The following is a 21,339-nucleotide window of genomic DNA, read 5'->3' as shown; positions in this document are numbered from 1 at the left end:
ATACAAAACTCTGCTCAAAAGAAATTAACAACTTGACTGTAAGACCTGAAACTATGAAAATACTAGACAAAGCCATAGGGGAAATGCTTTATGACATTGATCTGGCTAAAGATTAATTGGATAAGACCTTAAAAGCATAGACAACAAAAGCAAAAATAGACAAATGGATTTACATAAAACTAAATTGCATCTGCGCAGCAGAGGAAACAATCAACAGAGCAAAGAGACAACCTACAGGATGGGAGAAAATATTTGCAAACTATGCATCTGTCAAGAGGTTAATATGTGGAATATATAAGAAACTCAAATGTCTCGATAACAACAAAAAAACAAATAAATGATTTTAAAAATGGAGAAAAGACCTAAATAGATATTTCTTAAAAGAAGACATCTATATGGTCAACAAGCTTATGGAAAAATGCTCAGTATCACTAATCATTAGGGAAATGCAAATCAAAATCACAATGAAATATACAATAAATTATTGTTAACTATACTATGATGTATCCATAAAATTTAAAAATAAAAACAAACTTTTTAAAAACACAATGAGATATCACCTCATCCCAGTTAGAATGGCTATTATCAAAGAGACAAAAAAAAAAATAACAAATGCTAGTGAGGATGTGGAGAAAGGGGAGCACTTATACACTGTTGGTGAGAATATAAATTAGTACATCCATTATGGTCAACAGTGTCAAGATTCCTCAAAAAATTAAAATATATCTACCATATGATCCAGTAGTCCCACTACTGGTTATATATCCAAAGGAAAAGAAATAAGTACGTCAAAGAGTCATCTGCACCCTCAAGTTTATTACAGCACTATTTACAACAGCCAAGATATGGAATCAACCAAAATGTCCATCAGTGGATACACGGATTTTTTTAAGTGCTATATGTGCACAATGGAACACCATGCAGCCATAAAACGAATAAAATCATTTTTATTCTTTTGTGGCAGCATGGATGAACCTAGTCGACATTATGTTAAATAAAATAAGCTAGGCACAGAAGGACCAATACCCATATTCTCACTTATTTGTGGGATTTTTAAAAAGTTGAATTCAGAAAACAACCAAAACAGCATGCGAACCCTGCAACGGCAACCAAGGTATCCAGGTGCTGTCACCAGGACTGACTAGGCAGTTGGTATGACACACGGAGAGGAAGGAAGTGCAGTGTGGTGTGGCAGCCCACCTGAGAGCCACACAGGGCAGGGGAGTCCCCACCCACCAGCCAAGGGAGGTGGTGAGTGAGCGTGCTACCCAGCCTGGGAAACCATGCTTTTTCCACAGAACTGTGCAACCCACAGATCAGAAGATCCCACTTGAGAGCCCCTGCCACCAGGGCCTAGGGTCCCAACAACAGAGCTACGCAGATTCTCAATAGCCACTCAGCTAGAATCTGCTTAAGCCTGCTGACTTCCTGGGAGGAGTTGCAGCCATCACCACAGCTGCAACTGCCTGCTGCCTAAGCTGTCTAAGCTCCCTGCGGGAGGGGCAGCAGCCAACACTGGGACTGCTAGCTGCCTAACACACTAAGCTCCCATGGCGGGGGAAGGGCGGCAGCCATCTCTATAGCTCCAGGTCACTATTTTCCCCTGCCGAGCCAGGGAGACTTGGTGGCAAGAAATATTCCCCACAGCCAAACACACCGGCTGTGGCAGACTGCAGCCAGAGTGCCTCTTCAGGCAAGACCCTGACCCATCCCTCCTCACTGGGAGGGCCTCCCTGCAGGAACTCCAACAACTCCCGCCAGGGGCTCAAGGACAGAACTCTCATCTCCCTGGGCCTGAGCCCCTAGTAGAAGGGGTGGCCATAGTCTCCACGGACCAGCAGACTTAGTTTTTCCTACTGCTAGTTCTGAGGAATCTGGGCAGCCCAGATGAGTAAGTTTCCCTCCAGCACAGCATACCCCCTCCACCAAGGGACAGCCAAAGTGCTTCATTAAATGGGTCCTGCTCCCAGTGCCACCAACTGGGTGAGACCCTGCAACAGGGGTTGTCAGACATTTTATACAGAAGCATTCCTGCTGGCATTAGGTCGGTGCCCCTCAAGGTCAGCGATACCAATGGAAGGAGCAGGCACCCATCTTTACTGTTCTCCAGCTTCCCCCAGTGACATCTCCAGGTGCAGGAGTGAACCAGATGAATAAGGCCTGAAATGAACCCCCAGCAAACCACAGCAGCCCTACAGAAGAGGGACCTGACCACTGAAAGAAAAACAAACAGAAAACAACAACAGCATGAACAAAAAACGTCCCCACAAAAACCTCATCCAAGGGTCAGCAGCCTCAAAGATGGAAACTAGACAAACTCATGAAGATGAGAAAGAATCAACGAAAAAACGCTGAAAATCCAAAAGGCCAGAGTGCCTTTTCTCCTCCAAATGATCACAACACCTCTCCAGCAAGGGCGTGAACTGGATGGAGGATGAAATAGATGAACTGACAGAGGCAGGCTTCAGAAGGTGGGTAATAACAAACTCTGCTGAGCTAAAGGGGCATGTTCTAACCCAATGCAAAGAAGCTAAGGACCTTGATAAAGGCTTACATGAGCTGCTAACTAGAACAATCAGGAACATAAATGATGGAATGGAACATAAATGATGTGATGGAGCTGAAAAACACAGCACAAGAACTTCATGAAGCATACGCAAGTATCAATAGCTAAATCGATCAAACAGAAGAAAGAATATCAGAGTTTGAAGACCATCATGCTGAAATAAGGCAGGCAGACAAGATTAAAGGAAAAAGAATGAAAAGGGATGAGCAAAACCTCTGAGAAATATGGGACTATGTAAAAAGGCAGAACCTATGATTGATTGGAGTACCTGAAAGAGATGGGAAGAATGGAACCAAGATGGAAAACACACTTCAGGATATTATCTAGGAGAATTCCCCAACCTAGCAAGACAGACCAACATTCAAATTCAGGAAATACAGAGAACTCCACTAAGATACTCCATGAGAAGATCAACCCCAAGACACATAATCATCAAATTCTCCAAGGTCGAAATGAAGGAAAAAATGTTAAGGGCAGCCAGACAGAAAGGCTTGGTCACCTACAAAGGGAAACCCATCAGACTAAGAGAGGATCTCTCAGCAGAAACCCTACATGCCAGAAGAGAGTGGGGGTCAATATTCAACATTCTTAAAGAGAAGAATTTTCAACGCAGAATTTCATATCCAGCCAAACTAAGCTTCATAAGTAAATGAGAAATAAAATCCTTTCCAGACAAACAAATGCTGAGGGATTTTGTCACCACCAGGCCTGCCTTGCAAGAGCTCCTGAAGGAAGCACTAAATATGGAAAGGAAACACCGGTACCAGCCACTGCAAAAACACCAAAATATAAAGACCAACGATACTATGAAGAAATTGCATCAATTAGTGTGCAAAATAACCAGCTAGCATCATGATGACAGGATCAAATTCACACATAGCAATATTAACCTTAAATGTAAACGGGCTAAATGCTGCGATTAAAAGACACAGACTGGCAAACTGGATAAAGAGTCAAGACCTATTGGTGTGCTATATTCAGGAGATCCATCTCACGTGCAAAGAAACAAATAGGCTCAAAATAAAAGGACAGGAGAAAATTTACCAAGCAAATGGAAAGCAAAAAAAAAGAGGGGTTGTGATCCTAGTCTCTGACAAAACAGATTTTAAACCAACAAAAATAAAAAAAGACAAACAAGGGCATTATATAATGGTAAAAGGAACAATGCAACAGGAAGAGCTAACTATCTTAAATATATTTGCACCCAATACAGGAGCACCAGACTCATAAAGCAAGTTCTTAGAGACCTACAAAGAGACTTAGACACCTACACAATAATAGTGGGAGACTTTAACACCCCACTGTCAATATTAGACTGATCAATGAGACAGAAAATTAACAAGGATATTCAGGACTTGAACTCAGCTCTGGATCAAGTAGACCTAATAAACGTCGACAGAACTCAGAACTCTCCACCCCAAATCAACAGAATATACATTCTTCTCAGTGCCACATGGCACTTATTCTAAAATTGACCACATCACTGGAAGCAAAAAACTCCCCAGCAAATGCAAAAGAACTGAAAAATAACAAACAGTCTCTCAGACCACAGTGAAATCAAATTAGAACTCAAGATTAAAAAACATTCAAAAACACACAACTACATGGAAACTGAACAACCTACTCCTGAATGACTACTGGGTAAATAATGCAATTAAGGCAGAAATCAAGAAGTTCTTTGTATTCAATTAAAACAAAGAGACAACGTACCAGAATCTCTGGGACACAGCTAAAGCAGTGTTAAGAGGGAAATTTATAGCACTAAATGCCCACAAGAGAAAGCAGGAAAGATCTAAAATTGACACTCTAGATGACCAGTTGATAGTTGCAACAAACCACTATGGCACACATATACCTGTGTAACAAACCTGCACATTCTGCACATGTATCCTAGAACTTAAAGTAAAATAAAAAAAAATAAAAATAAATATTACATATAGAAAAAACAACAACAAAAAAAGTTGATTTCATAGAAGTAGAGAGTAAAATAGTGGTTACTACAAGCTGAAGATTTAGGAGGAGTGGGGAACAGGGATAGGTTAGTCAACAGATCTATGTTATACTTAGACAGGATTAACAAGCTCTGGTGTTCTATTGTACAAAAGCATGAATATAGTTAACAATAATGTATTGTAATTTCAACATAGCCAGAAGAGAGGATTGTGAATGTTCTCACCTCAAAGAAATGACAGATGTTGAGATGACGGATATGTGAATTATCCTAGTTTGATTATTACACAATGTATACAGGTATCGAAATATCACCCTGTACCTTATAAATATGTATAATCATTGTGTCAATTAAGGATAAAATAAAAATTTTAAAAAGATATGAAACTTCCACATTATAAGGGAAAGAATGAAACAAAGACAAGAAGAGAAAATTAAAAGAAATAATTTTAAAAGCATGATATATAGGAACAAAGAAAAAGGAAATGGAATATCAAAATCAACTACAAATATATTAATAATTACATGAATCTTAAAGGACAAATTTGTATGAAAAAAGCCCAGGGATTCTTAGAGTGTATTTATACATATATCCATCTATTATAAAGTTTTTGGTAATGGCAAACCTAATAATTTGGACCAACCTTCCCAATGGGAAAACTAATAAAACTCAGATGAAATATTTTAAATATGTTCTTGAAGGCATCACAAACATAAAATAATAAGAAATTACTTAGAAAAGTTCTAACTGCAGAAAGTATGAAGTCAAATAGACAGGTTCAGCACTCAAAGCCACTTTAGCCCAGAAAGCATTTGTCAAACCTTTAAACAAACAAACAAAAAAGGAACTGAGCTATGGTTTACAGAGAAGTAAATACCCTCAAACTATCCAAAAGGTGAGAGATAAAACACCAGTTGAATTTAACCTTCTTTTGCAAAAAAAAAAAAAAAAAAAAAAAAAAAGCAAAATCCAAAATAAATAATCTAAGCTTCCCCACTAGGAAACTAAATCCAAAGTAAGCACAAGAAAAAAACAATAAAAATTAAAACAGAAATCAATGAAATTGAAAATAGGACAATAGGACATTATTAAAGAAAATCAACAAAACCAAAAGCTAGTTCTTTGAAAAGATCAATAAAATTGATATACCATTAATAAGTCTAACTAAGGAAAATAAAAGAAAGAAGACACAAGTTACTAATATCAGAAATGAATAAAAAAATCACTACAAATCCCATGAACATTGAAAGGATAATAAAGGAATACCATGAACAAATCTGTGCCCACAAACATGATAACTTAAATGAAATGGACCAATTCTTGGAAAGCCACAATCCACTAAAACCCATACAAGAAGAAATGAACATTAACAGGCCTATTTCTATTAAAGAAATTAACTCAATAGTTAATAACTTTCCCAAACAGAAAGTACCAGGCCTAGATGGGATCACTGGTGAATTGTATCAAACATTTAAGGAAGAATGTATGCCAATTCTCTGCAATCTCTTCTAGAAGATGGAAATAGAGTAAGAAAGAACTTTTAGCTCATTCTATGAGGCCAGCAATACTCTAATACCAAAAGTAGATAAGGTAATTACAAGAAAAGAAAACTACATACCAATATCTCTCATGAATATGGATGTAAAAATCCTTAATAAAGTACTTAGCAAATAGAATCCAAGAATGTACAAAAAGAATTATACACCATATCCAAGTGGGATTTATCTCAGGAATGCAGGGCTACTCTAACACTTAAAAATCAATTAATTTAGTTGATCACATCAATAGACTAAAGAACAACTACATAATAATATAAATAGATGCAGAAAAAGCACTTCACAAAAATCCAACACTCATTTATGATTAAAAACTCTGAGAAAACTAGGAATAGAGAGATAAAGGATATCTATTTTAAAAACTACAGTTAATATCATACTTAATGATGAGAAACTAAAAGCTCTGCACTAAGATCAGGAACAAGGCAAAAAAATGTCCCCCCTCATTACTGCTTTTGAATATCATACTGAAAGTCCTAGTAATGCATAAGACAAGAAAATGAAAAGTATACAGATTCAGAAGGAATAAATAAAACTGTCTTTATTTTCAGATGACATGATTTTTACAGAAAATCCAAAATATCCAAAAATCTCTTCTGGAACTAAAAGAATTATAGCAAGGTTTCGGGATACAGGGTTAATATACAAAAGCCAGTTGCTCTCTTACATAGCAGCAATGAACAAATGGAATTTGAAATTAAAAACACAACACCATTTACACTAGCAGCCCCCAATTTGTTAGATATAAATCTATATACAAGATTAATATGAGAAAAACTGCAGAACTGATAGGAGAAATCAAATAAGAACTAAATAAATGAAGAGATATTCCATGTTCATGTATAGGAAAACTCAATGTTATCATGGTGTCATTCTTCCCAACTTGATTAATAGATTCAACATAGCCTCAATCAAAACCCCAGCAAGTTACTTTGTGGATATCAACAAAATGCAGAGAGGCAAAAGACTCAGAATAGCTAACACATTATGGAAGAACAAGTTTGGAGGACTGACACTACTTACTTTTTTTTTCTTTTAAATTTAAGTTCTGGGATACATGTGCAGAATGTGTAGGTTTGTTACATAGGTATACATGTGCCATGGTGGTTTGCTGCACCTTTCAACCTGTCATCTAGGCTTTAAGCCCCGCATGCATTAGTTATTTGTCCTAATGCTCTCCCTCCCCTTGTCCCCTAACCCCCAACAGGCCCCGGTGGACACTACTTACTGTAAGCCTGCAGTAATTAAGATAGTGTGGCATTGACAAAAGAACAGAAAAATAGATCAATATAACAGAATAAAGAGCCCAGAAATAGACCCACATAAGTAGAGTCAACTGATTTTTGACAAAGGATGAAAGACAATGCAATGGAGAAAACAGTCTCTTCAACAAATAGTGCTGAAACAACTAGACATCCACATGAAAAAAAAAAAAGAATCTAGACACAGACATTACACCTTTCCCTGAATATTGCATACAATGAAATATTACTCAGTCTCAGAAAGAAATGAACTATCAAGCTATGAAAAGACATGGAGAAATCTTAAACACACTCTAAGTGAAAGAAGCCAATCTGAAAAGGCAATATACTGTATGATTCCAACTACATAACATTCTGGGAAAAGGTAAAACTATGGAGACAGTAAAAAGATCAGTGGTTACCACAGGGTTATGGGGAGAGGGGAATAACTAGATGAAGCACAGAGGATTTGTAGGGCAGTGAAACTATTCTGTATGATACTATAATGATGAATACATGCTATTAAGCATTTGTCAAAACCCACAGAATGCACAACACCAAGAATGAACTCCAATGTAAACTATAGACTTTGGGTGATGATGTGTCAGTGGAGGCTAATGGATTGTAATAAATGTACCACTCTGGTGAGGATTAGTTCGGGAGATTGTGCGTGTGTTGGGGCATAAAGTATATGGGAACTTTCTGCTCAATTTTTCTATAAACCAAAAACAGCTCTAAAAGAGTAAAGTCTATATATTTAAAAAAGATTGCAATGTTCATGCCTGCCTGAGTTTCCAGCCTGCCCTACAAATTTCAAACTTGCTACCCTCTACAACTGCATGAGCCAATTCCTTGAGGTAGATATCTTTATATATAAATAGACTGTAAATGGCATGGTGTAGCTGGGTGACTGGAGGGCAAAGGTGGGGATCTTAGAGGTCAGAAATTAGTTCCCAAAGAGGAGAGATATTATTCACAAACACAAAACTTGCCTTTCCCAACCTTTGCCTTGGCACTAGAAATTGCAGCCGCAGATTGCTATGGTCAGGGCCAAGTCACCTAATTCAAGGCTAAGATGGTCTTGTCTGGTTTCCTTAGTTGTCTCATTATTCCTCTCTTCTATCCAAAGAGAAGGGACAGAAGGAGAGAGGTAGAATGACCAAAGAGCAATGCATGCTAGTGCCTGATCTTCCTTAAAGGAAGATCCTTAAGCAATATTTATTGTACAACACCAAAAGGGCATACCTTCCTTTATTAAAAAATTTGGCCCCGGATGAACTTGATCTCAGAGATCTGTTTCAGTGCTTCTTTTTCTCTGTGAGTTATCACTGCAACATTTTTTTGTGCCAACCCTCAAATTTCATTTCCTTTTTTGAAAAATATCTACATGTTTCAAAACATGTAGCTATAAAGAAGAAATTGATAACCTAGAATTTCATTGCAAAAAGAAAACCATTGTTAAGCTTTGTGACTTCTCATAATATCAGTTTCCACCAGATTGCTTTGCATCAAATTATTGCCCTAAAAATTTCCAGCATGCTTGATTTATCATTTTTGATTCTAGAATATTTTATGAAAGAATTCAGAGAACGGATGGTGTAGTTAGTACAAATCTGGCACTAGTAGGTGTACAACAAATATTGATTACTTTTAATCTATTTACTACAACAGAAGAGTGCTTTTAAGTTAAAGAAATGAAATAGTAAGGAATACCATAACATATATTAATTCTTTTTCTCCTATTGTTATCATTCAATATTAACCTTAGATGTACACTCACACCTTCCTTGTCATGATCCTCACAAAGTGGTAAAATAGAAAGGGAGTCGATAGGCATAAATTGACTTGTTAAGTTATTTAGCATCCTAATTCACAGTTTTCACAATTCTACCTAAAGTAACTGATGTAAGGAATAATGAGGAACATTGTGGATAGTCAATAAATGTTTCTATTCTCCTTCCTTCACCTCATCCCATGCCTGCCTTGCTGGGGTAGAATTGCTCAGCTCCAGAGCCTCATAACAAATGCCTTGTTCACTATGGCTAATATGCTGGTTTTAGAGATGTGAGGAGGAATAGTAGTTTTGCTGTTAGTAATGGTTGCCTCACTGGGGTCAGGAAAGAGGCTGAGACAGAACATCTCATTCCACAGCCTAATAAAAGAATGAAACACTCTTTTTTTTTTTTTTACATCCCTAACTCAGAGTCAACGGATAACCTTCCCCTAATATCAACATGACAGTAGTAGAATTACTGAAGTGATGGAAGACAGGGAGGGGTTGATCAAGATTAGACATCACCGTCTAGATGTCTAATCATAAAAAGAATGTTTTTCCACTGACAAAAAGTTTACCCAAAGCCTCCTTCATGTCTCTGTTCCTCAAGCTATAAATGAATGGGTTTAGCGTGGGAATAATCACCATATAGAGAACAGCAGCCCTACTTTCCCTCTCTGTAGAGTAAGTTGATGGAGGAAGTAAATACACACCCATAAGAGACCCATAGAAGAGCAGAACCACCGTGAGATGAGAACCACAGGTAGAGAAGGCCTTCCATCTCCCTCCAGGAGATGAGATGACAAACACAGCCCAGAAAATGCGGACATAGGAGAAGACGATCAGCAGGAGGGGAACAGTGAGGAACAGCAAGCCCATGGTGATGATCATCAGCTCGTTTACATGGGTATCTGAGCAGGCAAGCTTCAGGAGAGCACTAGGATCACAATAGAAATGAGGGATGGCTTTCTGGGCACAGAAAGCCACGCGGGTCAGCAACAGTGTGTGCATCAGGGCAGGACAGTTGGTTAGCACCCAGCACACACCCAGCATTAGTGCACAGAGCTGGGGACTCATAGATGTGCTGTAATGGAGTGGTTGGCAGATGGCCACATAGCGGTCATATGCCATCACAGCCAGCAGGCAGTTGTCAAGGCCACCAAACATAAGGAGGAAATATAGCTGTGCAAGACACCCAGAATACGAGATGATCTGACTCTGGGTATGAATGTTGGCCAGCATTTTGGGGATGGAGGCAGAAGTGAAACAGGCATCAGTTAATGACAGGTTGGCCAGAAAGAAGTACATGGGAGTATGGAGGTGTGGGTCAGAGCTGATGGCCAGGATAATGAGCAGGTTCCCCACCATGGTGACCAGGTACATGCCAAGGAAGATGCCAAACAGAAGAGGCTGCTCCTCTGGCCACTCAGAGAGTCCTAGAAGGAGGAAGTCTGAAACAGTGGTTTGGTTCACTCTGCCTGGTTTTCCCATCCCTTGTAGTTCGTGTGATCTGCGCAGATAAAAACCTTCCATGTGTCAGTATTTATTTATTAGATCAATTTACAGATATGCATCTGTGTGGCCAGAACTGTGCTGGGAGAAAAAGAAAAGAAAAATAAATGGTCTTTGCCAATAAGAATCTCTGAATCTCACTGGGAATGCAAGGAAATACCCAAGAGACATTTAGAGAACAGTTAAGATAATATCCATTCAAATCTCAATTGTGCTTTGTATGCTATAGCAGAATCCAAAGAAAAGAGATTTGTTTGACCAGAGAAATTGGCATGGGCTATTTAGAGGAAGTGAGAATTGAGAATAGCTTGATGGCAAGATTAGAAAAGCCATTTGTTATTGTCAATTGGAAAGAAGATGCATGATCTCCATCAAACTCCTACCCCTCCTCCAACACACACACACACACACACACACACACACACACACACACACACACACTCAAGCCCTCTTTGTGGGGGCTGAAATTGACTTTTAAGACAAGATAGCTTCCTCCCCACTTGCCTTTCAGTGCTGAGAATTTGACCTCACCCATTCAAACCAGTCCTGTACTCTTTCCTAACTAGCGGCAAAGGATATGTGAGCTGAGGGCAGTAGGTGTCTGGTGTCGTACTCCCCCATCCACTGTTAGGATGTTCCCTCCCACACACACGCATACAAATAGGACAGGGAGCCACTCTCTCCCTTCCATCACTTCCTCTCCTTTATCCCTGTCCTCTTCCCTTTTTTGCTGCTATGCATCTCTATCTGCTCTGGGAACTGATATTTTAGTTCACCTGTGCCTTCACCCCTACATTTGTACTACATTTATCTAATATTTACTTTTAACCAGAGGGAGGGAAGGTGAAAGGTATCGCCCTGACTTTTTGGTTTGAAAATAACCAGTCTGTTTTTTTGCTGCCCTAGTGAGCTGGTAGGAGAAACCATTTCATATTGATCTTGTAGAAGTTTGGCCTTAGAAGCTTTTGTAACTATTTTAGTCCTCCATTTGTTCTTTGGTTCATAGAGAAGCTTCTGACCTTAGGCAGAGACTCAGCACTTTCCCAGGAAACTTTTGCCTGGTCACCTGATCATCGAACTGGGAAGGAAGGTGTATATGTGTGTGTGTGTGAGAGAGAGAGAGAGAGAGAGAGTGTATGTGTGTGTGTGTGTGTATGTGTCCTACCCCTTCCAAATCCTCACCTGTCAGATTATGGATCAGTTTTAGGCATCTTCAAATTCTCCAATTCTCTTCCTTGGATGGATAATTCATAATAAAAAACTCTGAGACCTTTCTGACTCAGAGGCAATAAAGTCGGGGTCTATTGAGTCCAGAGTTTATTAGAAATACCTGAAGTGTATGGCTCGATTTCAGCTTCCCCGGGCATAAGAAGACAGGAATATCTCTTAAGGTTATAAAGGCTCCTAGAACACCATCTCCCAATGTGCTCGTTAAGGTCGACCTCGGTGTCATTGTGCAGCCTGTTCTCCAGCCAACTCTGGCTGGATCCTAGGGGAGCTGAGGACCTCTCTTTCCCAGGGGTTAAGATCTCAAATGTGGGTCTCGGGAATGTGATTCTGAAGCCTCTTGCTGGCAATGCAGTGTACTTCAGCCTGACTAGCAGGTCACCTGGGAACTCCTGCCTATATGCATTAGGCAAGTCAGCACTTGTCCCATGTCCTAGGTAAAACTGCATTGAAGAAGAAATCAGGAGTATAAACTAAAACACAACTATTTCTGCTGGCGATTTCCTTAAAGAGAATAATCCTGATGGAAACAATACCCTCAAAAACTCCAAAACTCAATTAATGAGGCAACCTAAATAAAGCACACCAGCCATAGTGCCTCATACAAAGCAGCTGCTCAAAAAAAGCTACTTATATCTACTGTATTTTAATTAATTCTATTAAGTGGAGAGAGTGGAATCCCCACCTAGGTCTGTAATGACTCTGGAGTACATGCTATTATCCACTATGCTTTGTTCTAGTATCATTGTTGGTTTCAATCATAAGCAATTTCATAGGTCTAAAATAATCCAACTTTTTGTAGCTATTGTAAATGGGATTGAGGTCTTGATTTGGTTCTCAGCTTGATTGTTATTAGTGTGTAGAAATGCTACTGATTTTTGTACATTAATTTTGCATCATGAAACTTTACTCAATTCATTTATCAAATCTAGGAGTCTTCTGGAGGAATCTTTAAGGTATTCTAGGTATTAGATCATATCATCAGCAAACAAAGATACTTTGACTTCCTTTTTCCAATTTGGATGTCTTTTTTTTTTTTCCCTGATTGTTCTGGTTAAGGACTTCCAGTTAAGACTTCCAGTATCATGTTGAATAGGAGTGATGAAAGTGGTCATCTTCGTCTTTCTCTAGTTCTTAGGGGGAATGCGTTCAGCTTTCCCCCATTCAGTATTATGCTGGCTATGGGTTTGTCACATATGGCTTTTATTATATTTAGGTATATTCCTTCTAGGCCTAGTTTGTTGAGCATTTTTATCATGAAGGGATATGGAATTTTATCAGTTGCTTTTTCTATATCTATTGAGATGATTATAAGGTTTTTATTTTAAATTCTGTTTATGTGGTGAATCACATTTATTGATTTGTATATATTTCACTATCCTTGTATTCCTCAAAAAAAAAACCCACTTGATCATGGTGTATTATCTTTTTGATGTGCTGTTGGATTCAGTTTGCTAGTATTTTATGGAGAATTTTTGCATCTATTGTCACCACAAATATTGGTCTGTAGTTTTCTTTTTTGTGTGTCCTTATCTAGCTTTGATATCCAGGTGATACCTGCTTTGTAGAATGAATTAGGGAGGATTCTTTCCTCATTGATTTTTTGGAAGAGTTTCAGGAAGACTGGTACCAGTTCTTTGTATGTTTGGTGAAATTCAGCTGTGAATTAAACTGATCCTGGGCTTTTTGTTGTTGTTGTTGGGAGATTGTATGATTCAATCTCACTACTCAGTATTGGTTTATTTAGCATTTCTACTTGTTCCTGGCACAATCTTCGGAGATTTTATATTTCAAGAATTTATCCATTTCCTCAAGGTTTTCTCATTTGTGAATTCATAGTTGTTTATAGTAGTCTCTGATGATACCTAGGATTATATGTAACCAAGGAGGTAAAAAATGTCTACAAGAAAAACTACAAAACACTGAAGAAAGAAATTTTAGATGACACGAATAAATGGAAAAACATCCCATGATCATGGATTGGAAGAATCAATATTGTTAAAATTACCATGCTGCCCAAAGCAATCTATAGATTCAATGCAATTCCTATCAAAATACCAACACCATTTTTCATAGAATTAGAAAAAAATCCTAAAATTCATATGGAACCAAAAAAGATCACAAATAGCCAAAGAAATCCTAAGCAAAAAGAACAAAGCTGAAGGCATTACATCACCTGACTTCAAATTATACTAAAAAGTTATAGTAACCAAAACAACATGGTACTAGTATAAAAACAGACACATAGATCAATGGAAAGAATAGAGAACCTGGAAATAAAGCCACATACTTACAGCCAACTGATATTTGACAAAGTTAACAAAAACATACACTGGGGAAAAGACACCCTATTCAACAAACAGTTCTAGGAAAATTGGATTGCTATATGCGGAAAAATGAAACTGGACCCATATTTCTCACCATATACAAAAATTAACTCAAGATGGATTAAAGACTTAACTGTAAGACCTGAAACTATACAAATCCTAGAAGAAAACTGAGGAAAAACTCCCCTAGACATTTGTGTGAGTCCATTTGCATTGCTACAAAGGAAAATCTGAGGGTGGGTAATTTATAAGGAAAAGAGGTTTATTTGGCCCATGGTTCTGCAGGCTGTACACAAAGGATAGTGCCAGCATCTGCTTCTGGTGAGGCCTCAAGAAGCTTCCAATCATGGTGGAAGGTGAAGGGGAGCCAGCATATCATATGGCAAGAGAGGTAACAAGAGGGATGCCATGCTGTCTTAAACAACCAGCTTTCACATGGACTCATTACTGCGGGGAGAGCACCAAGCCATTCATGAGGGATCCGCCCTCATGACCCAAACATCTCTCACTAGGCCCCACATCCAACATTGGGGATCTCACTTCAACATGAGGTTTGGAGAGGGCAAACATCCAAATCATATCAACATTGATCTAAGCAAATAATTCATGACTAACACCTCAAAAGCACAGGCAACAAAGACAGAAATAGACAAATGGAACTAAATTAAACCAAAAAGCTTCTGCACAGCAAAAGAAATAATCAACAGAGTAAACAAACCACCTGAAGAATGGGAGAAAATATTTGCCAACTATGCATCTGACAGAAGACTAATGTTCAGAATCTACAAGGAAGTCAAACAGCTCAACAACAACAACAACAACAACAACAACAAAACACACAGGAAGGGGAACATCACACACCGGGGCCTGTTGTGGGGTGGGGGTAGAGGGGAGGGGGGAGGGATAGCATTAGGAGATATACCTAATGTAAATGACCGGTTAATGGGTGCAGCACACCAACATGGGACATGCATACATATGTAACAAACCTGCACGTTGTGCACACATACCCTAGAACTTAAAGTATAATAAAAATATATATATATAAAAATTTTAAAAAATTGGACAAAAGATATGAACAGACATTTTTCAAAAGAAAACATATAACCATCTCCTAATGAGTCACTTTGGCATAATGACTATTTTGAGTTGAAGGCACTTGAAAAACAGCAGGTGCAAGAAGATTGCTCTGGCCTGTTTTCTGTTTCTTAAAAACAAGAGATGACATTTCCTTGTGGAAAATTTCCTCCCTGTACTAGAGGAAACTATCATTTTTATTATCAAGGACAGAACTTGAGATTAAGGGAAATGTATATAAAGAAACCTTGTTAGACTAATCCTTATCTTTCTAGTCAATTCCACCCAATTAACTACCCCAGCCCAAACCCCTTTGCCTTGTCACATTTTCACAATTTACTATTCCTCATTTAATTCAGTATGTAAGTGTTCAAACTCTAACTGCATCCTTGGATCTTCATTTCCTTAAGGCTCTGTATCATGTAAAACTTGTATTAAATAAATTTGTATACTTCTGCTTTGAGCAAAACAAAACATACAAATGGTTAATAAGCATATGAGGAAAATGCTCAACATCACTAACCATCAGAGAAATGAAAATTAAAACCACAATGAGATATCATCTTGCACCGGTCAGAATGGCTATTGTAAAAGTCAAAAAATAATAGATGTTGGTGGGGATACAGAGAAAATTGAATACTTAACGCAATGTTGGTAGGAATGTAAATTAATACAGCCTCTATGGAAAACAGTATGATTTCTCAAAGAACTGAGAATAGAACTATCATTTGATCCAGCAATTTCACTACTAGGTATATACTCAAAGGAAAAGAAATTGCTATATCAAAAAGATACCTGCACCTGTATGTTTATTGTAGCACTATCCACAATAGCAAAGATATGGAATCAAACTAAGTGTTCATCAACGAATGACTGGATAAAGAAAATGTAGTGTGTATGTACACACACACACACACACACACACACACACACACACACTGAACTACTACTCAGCCATAAAAAATGAAATCAAGTTGGGCATAGAAGTGGAATAATAGACATTGGAGACTCAGGAGGATGGGAAGGTGGGAGGGGGCTGAGGGATGAGAAATTGCTTAATGAGTACAATGTACCATATTCTGGTGATAGTTACACTAAAAGCCCAGAGTTCACCACCATGCAATATTTACAGGTAACAAAACTGCACTTGTATCCTCTAAGTTTATACAAATAAAATAAACAGTATATAACAAATAAAATAAAACAATCAAATTGTTTTTAAAACTTGCATTTCCTTTGTTACTAGTAAGACTGAATGGTTGTTTCATCTGATTTTTAACCTCAGAATGTCCTGTTAATATATTTGCCCTTTTCGCTGGGGTGTTCATGCCTTTTTAAATGGTTATCAAAGACAATAAAACAAAGTAAAGTATTTTATTATGGGTACTTTTTTTCTTTACTAGTCATTCCATTATGTATTTTTTAAATTATTATTTTTTTATGTGGCTCACTGCTTATTCTTTATTAATATTCTTTTTAAAAAAATTATTTTTGATTACAGCTAATAGCAGGATAAGTTCTAGTGTTCTATACCACTGTAGGATGACTATAGTTAACAATAATACATTACATAGTTTCAAGTAGCTAGAAGGAGGATACTGAGCATTCCCAACAGAAAGAAATGATAAATGTTCGAGATGATGGATATCCTAATTACCGTGATCTGATCACTATATATGTATCAAAACATCACTATGTACCCCCCGAATACATACAATTATTATTTGTCCATTAAAAAATAGGTTTAAAATAATTTTTGTTTTCAAAATTGACAGATATTTTGCTTTGCGTTATTCTTCCATTATTCTTACACACAAAAGTACTTTCCAGGCGTAAATGAGGAAAATTTCATGTAGTTATTTCTTCTAAATTCTAAGTACTACATTTAAATCTCTAATTTACCTGCCATTTATATTGTGGTAAAGTGAAAGAAGAGGATCTGCTTTTACTTTTAATTTTTTTAACAAATAGCCTAGTTGTATCCGTAGCATTTTTTGAAATAAATCCTGCATTCTCCGTTTGTTTGTTAGGTCTGAACACCTGTAGGTGGTCATCACTTGGACAGCTCACAGCAAGGCAGCAGGTTCTGAAAGCAAGCACCGTGCGAGCAAACGTTCTAAGAGACCAAGGCGGAAGCTGCTTTACTTCATAAGCTTCCCAAACTAGCCTATGAAAATCCCAGAATCTCACTTTCACTGCCTTCTATTGGTCAAACAAGTCACTAAGGGAAGAAAATTAAGCTCTGTCTCTCAATAGGAAGAGTGGCAAAAAATTGTTGGTCGTCTTTAATTTGCCACAGCCTGCACACTTGCCACAAATTATTTACTTTCCTCCCACATTCAAAATAGACTCGGCCCCTCCCAAGAGCCTGAGAATCTCATCCCTTTGCCACATCATGTTAATGTCCACGATCTTATCATCTAAATGAGGTCCAGGTAAAAATGAGTTTTCTCAGATGCAGTTCCCTGTGTACGGTTCCTCTCAATCTGAAGACCTGAGAATGTAAGCGACAAGTTTATCCACCCCCCAACACACACGTGCCTAACATAATGGTGATATAGACATGGAATAACTATAATAGACACTCCCAATTCTCAGGACAGGGAGGAGGGCAGGAAGCACAGAGCTATGTTTTTTTTTCATTCTTTTGCTGCTAATTCTCCACTGATAAATATACCACAATTCATCTATTATATTAATATTATTCATAGGTATTTAGATAATTCCCAGTCTGGTATTTTACAAATAGTAGTGACATAAACATTCTAGTACATGACTTTGGAGAGTATACATACATATTTTGGTTGAATATAGAAGTAGAATTCTGGGGTCCCAGTTTCTGCATATGTTCAGCATTAGTTTTTCAGAGTGATTTTTCACACAGTGGTAAGAAATAACACAAAAATACTAAGTATAAGAAAGCTGGAGTGTCTATGTTAAAATTAGACAATATAGACTTCAAGACAAAGAGTACTACCAGAGATAAAGGAAGATGTTTCATAATAATAATATGATCGACTCATCCTGAAGATACAATAATAAATGTGGTTGCATCTTATGAAAGAGTTTCAAAACACATGCATCAAAAACTAAAAGAATTAAAGGGAGAAATGGGAAATTACACAATTATATCTAGATATTTTAACATTTTTTCCCAAAAGCTGGTAGAACAAGTAGATAGAATGATTAATCAATATATAAAATATTTGAATAATACTTTCTTTACCTAATTGATACTTACGGAATACCATAAACAACCACTTATAAAATGCACATTCTTTCAAATCATATGGTCAACTCACCAACATAAACCATAGAGAGGGCCATAAAATAAATGTTAATAAATTAAAAGGATTGTAATCATACATAATATTATATCCAACTAAGATGAAATTATAAATCAATAACACCAATAAATTTAAAAATCAAGATATTTGAAAATTAAGCAATACAAATAGAAAGTCTATGAGTCAAAGAATAAATTTAAGGGACATTAGAAAATATTTTGAGATGAATTATATTAAAAATGTAACACCAAAATGTTGGAAACGCAGCTAAAGTTGTGCTTAGAGGGAAATTTATTGCTTTAAATGCTTGAATTAAGGAAAAAAGGTCTACAGTTAATAACAATGTTCTAAATTTAAAAGCTAGAAGAAAAAAAGCAAAGTAAACCCTAAGAAAGTAAAAAGAAAGAAATAAAAACAATGAAATAAAAAACAAACACTAGAGAAAGGTAACAAAGCCAAAGTTGGCCTTTTGAAGAAAATGAACAAAATTGATTAACCCCTAGCCAGATGGATCAAGAGAAAAGAAAGAGAAAGCAAGGTTGTCCATACAGGTTTCACAGGCATCACAAGGATAAGAAGAGGATATTTTGCTTTGGGAGGCCGAGGAGGGCAGATCCCTGAGGTCAGAAGTTCGAGACCAGTCTGACTAACATGGAGAAACCCTGTCTTTACTAAAAATACAAAATTAGCCAGGCATAGTGGCACATGCCTGTAATCCCAGCTACTAGGGAGGGTGAGGCAGAAGAATCACTTGAACCTGGGAGGCGGAGGGTGCGGTGAGCTGAGATTGTGCCATTGCACTCCAGCCTTGGCAACAAGAGTGAAACTCCATCTCAAAAAAAAAAAAAAAAAAAAAAGAAAAAAGAGGCTATTTTGAAAAATATGTTTACTAACAAATTTGATAACAAAATTCTTGAAAAATAGAGCTTTTAAAACCTAGTGCAGATATTGTAATTTGAGACAGAAAGCTGAATATTCCTATATTTATTAACGAAATCAATATCAACAACTAACCACAAAGAAAAATTCAAGGTTAGATGGTTTCACTGTTTAATTCCCTCATCATTTAAAAAAAATTAAATTTAAAAAAATTTTAATCTAAGTAAAATTTTAATTTATTCATTATTTTTAATTGACAACTTTATATATTTATGAGCTACAATGTAATGTTTTGATCTATGCATACATTGTAGAAAGATTCCATTTAATCTTACACAAATTCTACAGACAGTAAACAAAAAGGAAATAGCTGCCACCTCATTTTATGAGGCTAACAAAAGTTGAAAAAAGAAAATTATGATTATGATAACCAAAATCGGTACCAGTTACCTGTGGTTGTGTAACAAACCACTCCAAAACTTAATGGCTTTAAATAACAACTGCATTTATTTTACTCACTTTCAGTTTGGGCAGAACTGGTTTGGATACCTCATCTCTACTCCATGTGATGTCTCCTCGACGGCTAAGAGGATGGAGACTGAACCATCTGTTCTCTTGTTTAATCAGATCTCTGGTTGTTGATGTTGAGTGTTAGACCTTATGGGTAGGAAGTTAGCTGGGACAGTCAACTAGAATACTTTCCCATGGCCTCTCCCTGTAGCCTAGGCCTTCTCACAACATGACAACTGGGTTCCAATGGCAAGTTTCCAGGTACTCAACATCATCAGTCATCAGAACAATGCAAATTAAAACTACAGTGTAATATTACAATTTACCTCCTAAAATAAAAAGACTGGCAATACCAAGTGCTAACAAGAATATGAGCATCTGGGCCAGGCACAGTGGCTCACGCCTCTAATCTCAGCACTTTGGGAGGCTGAGACAGGCAGATCACTTGAGCACAGGAGTTCAAGACCAGCCTGGGCAACATGGCAAAACCCCATCTCTACAAAAAATACAAAAATTAGCTGGGCGTGGTAGCACATGCCTATGGTCCCAGCTACTTGGGAGACTGAATTGGGAAGGTTGCTTGAGCCCAGAAGGTCGAGGCTGCAGTAAGCTGAGATCATTGCACCACTGCACTCCAGCCTGGGTGACAGAACAAGACCCTGTCTAAACAATAACAAAAATATGAGCAACGGAATCCCCATATAGTGCTGGTAGAAATGTAAAGTGGCACAACTGCTTTGGAAAATGAATTTTTTTACAATACTGAACATACAGTTATCATATGAAATATGTCCACCCAAAAGTTTGTACATAGGTATTTATAGCTCAATTATTCATAATGATCAGAAATAGTTACAGCCAAAATGCTCATCAGCTATAAAAGGCATAAACAAATTGTGGTATACAATAGAATACTACTGGGTAATGAAAACATACGTTACTGACATACACCACAACGTGGATAAATCTCAAACACTTTGTTGAGCCAAAGAAACCAGACATAAGTGTGCATACTGTAAGATTCTATTAATTTGACTCTGGGAAAAGCAAACTTAATCTACAATGACAGAATTCAGATGGCTGGCCGCATGGGACTTGGAGTGAAGTCCGTATCTTGACTGTGGTAGTTTGCACAGGTATATAAAGTTGTCAAAACTTCTTAAAATGTGCACCTAAAATAGGTACATTTTATGTAAATAATACCCCAATAAAGTTGATTTTAAAATAAAGTAGAATGAAGGATGAATAAATGGATGTGTGGAAGCAAGTATAATAAAGTTTTAAAGGTTAAATCTAGGTGGGCGGTATAGGAATGTTTACTGTAAAATTCTTTCACCTTGCTGTGTATTTTTAAAATTTTCTAATACAATGTTGGGAAAGAAGACTGAAACTACTAGTTCTGTTGAAAATACAGGGCAACTGGAACTCTCAA

The 21,339-nt window shown here is 37.3% G+C and overlaps 3 protein-coding genes across 3 annotated transcripts in view; 1 reads left to right on the top strand and 2 right to left on the bottom strand.

Moving 5' to 3' along the window:
• Nucleotides 1-17,520, top strand: part of OR1L8 (olfactory receptor family 1 subfamily L member 8) — a 37,114-nt gene extending 19,594 nt beyond the window's left edge. Inside the window, exon 4 of the mRNA XM_017014285.2 lies at nt 17,262-17,520. The gene's annotated coding sequence lies outside the window, so the exon portion shown is untranslated. The remainder of the gene's footprint in view (nt 1-17,261) is intronic.
• OR1J2 (olfactory receptor family 1 subfamily J member 2) overlaps nt 1-21,339 on the bottom strand; it is a 132,995-nt gene that overhangs the window by 16,637 nt on the left and 95,019 nt on the right. The window lies entirely within an intron of this gene.
• Nucleotides 9,577-10,679, bottom strand: OR1N2 (olfactory receptor family 1 subfamily N member 2). Its single transcript, NM_001004457.2, has one exon. The coding sequence runs from the start codon at nt 10,577-10,579 to the stop codon at nt 9,629-9,631; it is 951 nt and encodes a 316-aa protein (NP_001004457.2). The 5' UTR covers nt 10,580-10,679; the 3' UTR covers nt 9,577-9,628.

The sequence above is a fragment of the Homo sapiens genome, chromosome 9 (genome assembly GCF_000001405.40).
Source record: "Homo sapiens chromosome 9, GRCh38.p14 Primary Assembly".
NCBI classification, from domain to species: Eukaryota; Metazoa; Chordata; class Mammalia; order Primates; family Hominidae; genus Homo; species Homo sapiens.
The sequence above is the reverse complement of the archived record's forward strand: the minus strand, read 5'-3'. Positions and strand labels throughout refer to the sequence as shown.

What these genes read in the sequence shown, in the direction of transcription:
- OR1N2 (NM_001004457.2), bottom strand. Translation starts at nt 10,579, where the DNA reads ATGGGAAAACCAGGCAGAGTGAACCAAACCACTGTTTCAGACTTCCTC.